This window comes from Homo sapiens, chromosome 7 (genome assembly GCF_000001405.40).
Source record: "Homo sapiens chromosome 7, GRCh38.p14 Primary Assembly".
Lineage (NCBI taxonomy): Eukaryota > Metazoa > Chordata > Mammalia > Primates > Hominidae > Homo > Homo sapiens.
In genome coordinates, this window is record NC_000007.14 from 106365666 (window position 1) to 106375167 (window position 9502).

The window sequence follows — 9502 nt, forward strand, 5'->3', positions numbered from 1 at the left end:
CCTGGTTCCAACTCCATCAGAGTGTACTTGGGGAAGTTCTGGGTCTAGACCTATCTCGATCCTGTGGAACTGCAGAACTCACTAATCTCCTGGAATTTTCTGAACTGTCTTCAGCTCTCTATCAGGTCATAAGGGTTGGAGCTTCTCCCTAAGGACTTTCCCAATGCCCAGAACTAAGAGAAGCTGCATGTAGAGCTTTCACCCACAATAAACAACTTGCATAACAGGGCAGGTCTAAATTTCCTGAAGGAAGGAAGAACCAAGGGCCAAGAAAGATACAGATAAGTTTTCCAGCTGGAAAAGAAATATCCTTCTATGCCAGACTAAGGCAAAAACAAACTAAAAATTTACCCAAACCTTTCCACACAAACATTTCACTCATTTTTCATTCTGAACTGCTAGGATAATCATAGGGCACTCATATTACATGTGAGGTCTGGGTGAAAAGAGCTAATCAGTTCTATAAAATATATGATCTCTCTCCAGGTACAGTGGCTCATGCCTGTAATCCCAACAATTTGGGAGGCCAAGGCAGGTGGATCACTTGAGCCCAGGAGTTCAAAACCAGCCTGGGCAACATAGTGAAACCCTACCTCTGAAAAAAAAAAAAAAATTAGCTGTGGTGGCATGCACCTGTAGTTCTAGCTACTTGGGAGAAGTGGGAAGATCACCTGAGCCTTGGGAGGTTGAGGCTGCAATAAGCCATGATTGCACCAGCCTGGGTGAAATATATACATGATCTCTCTACTTTCCTGAGTCTTCTTATTCAAATGAAACTGGCTCTTAGTCCGGACGGATCACTTCTGATATATGATCTAAAATGATGAGTGTTTTTATGTTGGGAAAATTAATCAGGATGTTATTTTTGACATCGCATTGAAAGAGACAGAATTTAAGACATATCAAGAAGGCAAATAACTCCATTTTACAAGAGTTTGCTTTTGCAGTTTTAGTGGAAGGAGCGTTACTGAACAGGTGGATTTCTATCTCAATAATGAGAACTCATATCCAATATTATCCTTGGCATTTTGAACACATTATCTCTAACTTTCACAACAAATCTGCAAGTTAGTCATTATTGTCCATTGCAGGGATGAAGAAACCTGGGTTCAGAAAGGTAACTTTGGCTAGGAAGGGAGAGGTGGACTGGGGACAGGCCTGCTACCTCAAAGCACCAACTCTTTAACTCTTTTCATTACACCATGATGTTTTTCCCTAAAGGAAAGAAATAAGTCTAGACTGAAAGCATCTTCTGGTTTAGGTAATTCAGATTAGACCCAATCCTTCCTTAGAAACTTAACCCAACCCCTTGCCAAATGGTAGGTAGTTTGGAGATGAAATCACACTACCTTTAAGGGTCAAAGTGTCATGTTTTATACATTTTTGGTTTTTTTTTCCCCTCTTGCTTCAGTGCAATAAATCACAGCAGTTCAGGCGTAAAATTACCTGCAATTTGTGAGCAGGTCTTAGACGCATGCTGTTGAGAGCAGTGCCCAGCCCACCCAGGCTTTGCACTGAAGGATCTAGTCCAGAGAAGCTCCACAGAGAGTCTACTGCCCTCTTCAGGGATAGTTCCTGTATTTACACAGTCTTTCCTTTTGTGCAAAAAGAGCCAACTCATGGGCTAACCAGCAGCCATTCTCTTCCTGCTCAGTCTATCAACGGGTAAACTCCTGGAGGGCAGGATCTAGATTTGATTTATCTTTGCTTCTCCCATGCAACACTTGCCTGAGCTCTGCTGGCTTCTGGGGCTCTTTTGCTCCAACAAGTGATGCTACACACCAGGAGGTGAAGTTCACCAAGTAATTCATACATCCCTGTTCTCAAGAAACTGATACTCTAAAGAGGTAATATAAAACCATCAGGAAAAAAAAACAGCTAATGTTTGAATCTGGGGATATAAGTGTTAACTTGTATGTGTGCCAGAGTCCTCAGGACGCCTCATGCAAGAGGAGAAACTTGGAGAATGGATAGGATTGGGGTAGGTGGGAGGCATGGTGGATGAGGGGAGCAAACACAGGAAGTAGAGGGCAGAGGAAATTATGGTAGGTGGAGGAAATAGCATCTCTCTCAGCATTACTGGTGCTTTCTTTCTACTAGCCCTCTTTAGTCATAACCATTCATGTTGGGCCTCTCCACAAGTTTCCATTGTATTTCCCTGTCTTTGTACAGGAGCCCTGATGATGTGGAGGGGAAGCAGTCTGTAGTCCCGTGACTAGGTCTCAGTCTGCTAGTGACACTGTGAGTCAGGGCTGTGGCCTTCCCAGGTGCTTCTGTTTTTCCCCGTTAGGTTAGACAGGATAGCTACAGGGTGCTGGAGTTGCGTATTTCCATTCCCCTAGGTCAGTTAGGCTCTACCAGAACCCCAGCTGGTTAGGTTCTGGAAAGTAGCTTCCCTTGAGGGAGACCCCATTAGAAGAACAGAATGCTCTGGCATATTTCAAAATGGTGACTTTCTCCTGATGTACAGGGAGTTTTGCTCAGATCTTCACTGATAATCTGGTGGCATTCCTGGAGGTAGCACTCGCAGAGTTGTGGGGCACCCCCTTAAGATTGGCTCCTACTGGAGTTTTCACCTCCCAAACTTGTCCACACTGAGCCTTCAGCAATACATCAATATGGTTTAGTATTGGTACCTGGCTCCCACAGAGGTTTCTTCTCTGGTAAACTGTGACTTTCTGTATTCACCTGTCTGCCTCTCCCTAATTTTGGGAGCATTGGTTTGCCCTGTGACCTCAGTTCTCTGTTGGATCTAAGAAAACTTGTTGAGTTTCAGTCTGTTCAGCCTTTTTGTTGTTCTGAGTACCAGAGTGATGACTCCCAGACTCCTTTTATGCTGCACTTGAAAGCAGCACTTTCCTGCAGTGTGTTCTGCAAAACATGAGTTTATCTATAGAGTTCTACACAAGGTTAGAGTTCAACAGCAGCAGGGGCCCATGTTCAAGGAGCTTTGAGAAATAGAGGTGTCTTTACAGCAGCTCTTTTCAGTGCCTTTATTATATCAATATGTATTTAATTACACTTTATGGGACAATCGATTGCATTGTTTCCTAAATGGATTTGACCATGAAGTTCTTTTGGGGAAGAGTGTTTCAGAAAACCATCTTCCTCAGAATTGGGGAAATGCTGCCTTACAGTTTTTCTAAATACCTTCTCCTTGCCTGAGGTTGCTGCTTCTTTGTGGGCCAGTTGACATAATCAGTCCTATCTATGTTCATTCATCCACAGATACTTACTAACTCTCCATTACGTGCCTGGCAGTGTGATAGGTCTGATGGGGGATACTAAGTGTTTAAGACATGGTAGCTTTTAGATTTACAGTCTGGTATGGAAAGTAAGACAGACATGCACAGAAATAACTAGTTCTGGAGACTTCAAAGAAAGAAAGGCTCCCTTAATATTTCTACTATTTACAAAAGGTGAATCAAATTAGAGAACCAAAACAGAAAATAATTTTTTTAAATGAAAGCTGTTTACTTTCCACATTTCACTGAGGTGCCAAGTTGGCTTCAAGAGTGAAAAAGTCTTGTAGATCAGGTTTCTTGGCAGAACATCAGTCTGTACAACACTGCCCACGACCTGCCATCTTGTTCACCGACCCGTGCTCATCGCAACATCTCCTCACGGAGTTTCCAGGGGTCTCGGTGGACAGCATCAGCAGGCAGGAAATAAAGGGCTGGGTGGACTCACCCAACCAAAATCTTGTTTTCGGCAAGTGTTAGGGCTTTGTGGAGAAGTGATGCGGGATCTGTGGCACCATCCACCTGTCAGCCTCTTGTCTGCCTTTTGGACAGAGCCTTTCCTTTCCTGGCTAAAGGACTCATCCTTTCAGAACATGCCTCCAGCTTCTAATGATGAACAATACAAGAAAACAAAAGACAGCTGCCTTGGCTCCAGGCACAAGCATCCAGAAGGAACCAAAAACTGGCAATGAGTCACCAGCTCGTGAATTACCAAGAAAAGTGGTTTTTGTATGCAGGCAGGCAGTTTAGTGCAACCTGAGAGAGCTCAGAAGATGCTGCCCCAGCTCTTCCCCTGCTTGGCCCTCACTCAGTTGCAACTGGGCCTGAAATCCACCCTCAGGCAGGCATTTTTTATTTTCTCAAGCAGTTTTTCTCTGAAAGTCATCTTTTTTAAAAGCAAATACTTAAGGGGGGGAGGATGTAATTTTAATGCTATAGTCTTCTCATGGCTGTTATCAAGTGGCAACATTTTGGGATAAAAGGAACAAAAGACAAATCATTTTATCTTATTCCTCAGTTTCTTTGTTTGTAAAATAAGGGATGAAATAAGAAAGTTCTAAGTTATGTTCCCACTTTATGACTCATTATCACTCCCAGAATTGAAACAGCATGAAGGCACTGGAAACTCAGGGGAAAGGGAGGAGAAGGCCTCACGGCCTGAAATAAGTTATTAGTATTTATTTTCTGTAATAGAAGAGAATAGGGAATGCCCGATTATGTTATATGCCATAAGAGTAAGTATTGTGTTTTGTGAAGCTTTTGTTGTACATATAGATTTAGGTATAGATACAGATAAATATGTAGATATATGATATATGCATATTGTATTTGTTGGAGTTCTCCATGGAAATAGAACCTATGTGTATATTTAGGTTGGCAGACTGAAGACTCAGGGAAGACTTGGTGTTGCAGCTTCTGTTTGATGACAGTCTGGAGGCAGAATTCTCTCTTACTTGGGGGATCTCAGTCTGTTTTTTCTTAAAGCCTTCAACTAATTGGATAAGGCCCACTCACATTATGGAGGGTAATCTGCTTTACTCAAAGTCCACTGATTTAAGTGCTAATCTCATCTAAAAAATGCCTTTACAGCAACATCCAGACTGATGTTTGACCAAATATCGGTACTGTAGCCTAGCCAAGTTGACACATGAAATAAACCATCTTACATATAAGAGTACCCAGCACACACACACGCACATGTGAGAGTACCCAGCATACACACGCACATATGTTCAAAGGGAGTGATAAGATAGAAGATGACTGACGCTCAGCCAGTCAGATGCACCTTTCTGGGAACAGCACTAGGGAGCAGGCACGGCAGATGATCACTGTCACGGGTGGAGGCGGCTGCAGAAGCACTCCTGGTTTCCAGGGTAGCAATAGCAGTGATCCGGGCAGCAGCCACGCATATGTGCGTGTGTGTGTGCTGGGTAGTGGAATAAAATATATTCTTATAGCATATCGTGGCCAAGAAGATTGAAAACTTCTGAAAATCCACAAAACCATTCTGAATTCTACTTCTAAGCCAGCACTGCCACCATCATAAAAAAGGGGACCATGCCTCCAGGTGTAAAGTGTCCTTTGTTACACCTGCTCTCACACCAACTAGGGAGACCTTGATACTGCTAGGCTGCCATTCCAACACTGTCTCAGAACTCCCTGCTGCTCCTTTTGCTCTAGGCACAGCGGCTCCTGTTTCTTCCTTCAGAGGTGCTCATGTATGCCCACCTCAAGACATTTGCTTCTGTTCTCCCTCTTCCTGGAAGGTTCTTCCCCAGGCCTTTTCGTTGTCTGACTCCATCCCATCTTTCAGATCTCTGACCAATTCCCCCTACCTCCTCAGAGAGGCCTTCCTTGACCATCCCATTAAAGTAATCCCTGCCCACTTCCCCATGCTCCACACATATCCATACATTCCCCAGTGACCCTGTATCCTAGTACACAACTTTATTTTCTTCATTGCATTTATCACTATCTGAAATACCTTATTTATTGTCTTCCCTCCCCCACCCCACAAAAAGATAAGCCCCATGTCTTTCCTATTTATTTTTGTATTCTTAGTGCCTAGAATAGTGCCTGGCATATGGCAGGGTCTCCACAAATGGTTAGGGAATAAACTATCCATAATGGTTATAAAGTGGACATTTGTCCATGATTTGGCTGTCCATCATCTGAACTTCCTGTCTATTTTAGGGAACACCATTTTATGAGCCTTGGTGGGGGAAAGAAGCTGACAATGGTACTCACTCTCTTAGCTTCCCTTTGCGGTATGTGTGGACATGTGACCCACTCAGCCAGTCAGATGCACCTTTCTGGGAACAGCACTAGGGAGCAGGCACAGCACATGATCACTGTCATGGGTGGAGGCAGCTGCAATAGCACTTCCGGTTTCCAGGGTAGCAATAGCAGTGATCCAGGCAGCAACCATGCAAGCCATGGCATCCGGTGAACAGAGGCAGTGGCACAGTGTCCTCCCTGGACTGATTCTGTGGTATGGCTTTGGCTTTGTTCTGGTTGTACCAGATTTCCCACACTCCTGCCCTCTTCTGAGTCCAGTCCCCAGCCTCTCAGTGACTCTGCGAGCTTTCAGATAGCCTTTTTATAAAGTCCTGTTGCTTAACTCATAGCAGTTTCTGGTGCTGGAAATTCTCTTGTCTTTTCCCTTCTCTTGCCTTTCTCATCTTTTATCTTATCACTCCCTTTGAACTTTCCAAGTCCTTGAAGTCATCTTTATGTCCTTCTCCCTAGATGTGATACTCATCAGTGGCTCCCATGAGTCTTGGCAGTCAGGCTTGGTTTAAAAGGAACGAGGGTCTCTCTGGTATAGTTTTGCTCTACCAGTAAGGGTAAGACGGACTGAAGAACAGTGGGTGGATCTGAGTCAGTCATTGGATCTTCTGTGATTCATCAATGAGTTGAATTTTAAGCCTTTGAGTTGGTCAGCACTTACTGATGAATATTTGTGACATCCCATACAGGGTATTTGTGGCTTCTTATAAGAGCATCACACATGGTTTATCCTCAAGAAGCCTGTCTAATAGAAAGGAAGAGAGAATTGTTACACAATTAAAATAAGTAAAAGGATATGGTAGATTGTGCTTCCCAAAGATGGCCACAATAATACCTTCTATATGCCTTTCTGAAATGTCACTAATAGAGTTTGGATGTTTGTCTTCTACAAATCTCATGTTAAATTTGACCCTCAGTGTTGGATGGGGGGCCTGATGGGAGATGTTTGGGTCATGGGTTGGGGGTGGATCTTTCATGAATAGCTTGGTGCCCTCCCAAAAGTAATGAGTGAGTTCTTGCCCTATTAGTTCACATGAGAGCTGGTTGTAGAAAAGTATGGCACTTCACACCTCTCTCCTGCTCCCTCTCTTGCCACGTGACATGCCTGCTTCCCCTTCACATTCCACCATGAGAAATAACATCCTAAAGTCCTAGCCAGAAGCAGGTGCTGGAGTCATGCTTGTACAGCCTGCAGAACTGTGAGCCAAATAAGCCTCTTTTCTTTATACATTACCCAGCCTCAAGTATGCCTTTATAGCAAGATAGAGTAATATAGTTACCTTGCCAAATCCCATCAAGGCTGAGACTCTTTCTCTGCACTTTCTTGAACCTGGGAAAGCCCTGTGACTACTTAGACCAATAGAATGTAAATAATGCTGCAGCAGCTCCAGGCACAGCCCTTAATTGGTTTGATAACGTCTGCTTCCTGCATCTTGGAAGCCAGTCACCGTGTAAGAAATAGGGCACATTGAGAACAATGTGCTGTGAGAAGCCCAATCCCCATGTGGAGAGGCCCTGGAGGAGGAGGTACTGTGTAGAGAGAGAGGTCAAGGTGCCAGACTCATGAGTAAGGAAGCCATATATAAGGTGGTCTCCCAGCCCTGCCTTCCCTAGCTGATGCCATGTGGACCACAGACCAAGCACCTAGCTGAACCCTTCCTAAATTCCTGACCCACACAATTGTGAGCAAAATAAAATGGTTGTTTTAAGCCACTGCATTGTGGGATGGTTATTGTTATGAGGCATTGGATTAACTGGATCAAAGGACAAGGACTCATCTATACAGAATGCTTCTAGGCACCTGGCTGAGATCATGTAGCGTGCTTTATGTAAGTGTGGAAACAGTTTTGGGTGATAAGAACATCAGAGTAGATACTCCAGTCACCTGAGTGTACTCAGTACCCTTTGGAGAAGCAGCTGTCAAATAAAAGGAAACTTGTAGTTATTCAAAATTGAAAATAATCTCACAGTCAGATGTTAGTGATTTCTAGCATCAGTAGGGGAGGTCTGGCATGGAGAAACAAGATCCAGGATCATTAACAAAACAAAAGCCCTTCCTCATCTTGACAGGCACAGCTATACCTAATGGAATCAATTCTCAGAATCCTTCTACTTCTTGGCTCTGTGGTAACCAAGGAGATTTTGCCCTAAATTTTTATTCCAATCCAAAATTGCATTTATTGCAAACTTGGGAAAGTCAGACTACAATCAAACATCGCTTATAATAAGCCCATGCATTATGATGCATGTGATACAAGAAGGTTAAAATACTACAGCATTATATGTTAGATCCTTAGGAAAGCACAATTCACAATTCAAATAATCTTACGTCCTTTATGTCCTACTTCCATTTCTCTCAGAGACACATTCTGTAGCCTGTACTTAAAACAAAAGATTATTTTATTTTGTCTCATCTCTGGCCTCCTTTGTGTTGGCTTTGGTAGCAGCTTCCAGGTGAAATATGACTGCCTCTGAGTTAACCTGGAAGTGGATGATCTGCAAAGGGGTCTGTGTTGCACTGCTCTGTGGCATGTACAGGCACTATTGGACCTGAGTTTTCTTTTGGAGATAGCGAATGGTAGGTTCTGTCTGTTTTCTACTCAGGAGTCATTCTCCAATTTACTTCTCTGTTAACAGACGCTGATTTTTAAAATACATCTGGTAGTTATCTCCTTTATGGGGAGGCCAGGTCATTCCTTAGCCCAAGGAAGTGAATTGATTAAGTCAGTGATCTAAGTTCCATCCCTTTTGTCAGTGTTTGGTTGAGGAATGGACATGGGACACAATTCCAGCCCATGAAACATGATGCACAGTCAGCTGTGGGACTTTAGGTAAAGTTCTCCTATCTTTTAAGTAGGTGCCTAAGTAAAGGATAGTGTTGGCTCCCATCTTCTGTCATGTGGTTACTATGTGAGAGTATGAGGTCTGGAGCCACTATCTTGGTCACCATGAGGGAAGCCAGCCCAAGAGGATAGGTCAGTGTGCTGACTAGAGTGGAGAGACAGAAAGAGGGGAAAAAAAAACCTGTGTTCTTAATTGTGTTATAGAGCTGCTGAATTGACCTATTTGAAACTGTCCTAACTTAGGACTTCTTGTTACGTGAAGGAATACATTTTTCTCCTTGTTTAAGCCACACTTGGTTGGGTTTTCAATTTTTTAGCTGATAGCATCCTGAGTCAGTAATTATAAATAAGAAATCAATGATAATGTGTATAGTAGAAGGAAAAACTACCTTCAGCATTGGGGAGACAAGGTATCTCATGTTTTTGGATAGGTGAGGCTACAGGAACACATATCGGGTTATGAATTACCTTTGGGGAGGTCCACATTGATTGGAAAGCAAACGAAGACCCCTGGGAACACCTGAACTGATCTCAGTTTTGAAAAGCTTGGTCGGGCGCTGTGGCTCACGCCTGTAATCCCAGCACTTTGGGAGACTGAGGCTGGCGGATCACAAGGTCAGGAGATCG

General features: G+C 43.5%; 1 annotated feature.

Moving 5' to 3' along the window:
• Positions 8807–9020: a silencer, noted in NCBI's record as "fragment chr7:106014918-106015131 (GRCh37/hg19 assembly coordinates)". NCBI's record gives its function as "represses an EF-1alpha promoter that drives an FKBP-Casp9 reporter gene in an ReSE screen in K562 erythroleukemia cells {active_cell/tissue: K562}" and the evidence as "EXISTENCE:reporter gene assay evidence [ECO:0000049][PMID:32094911]".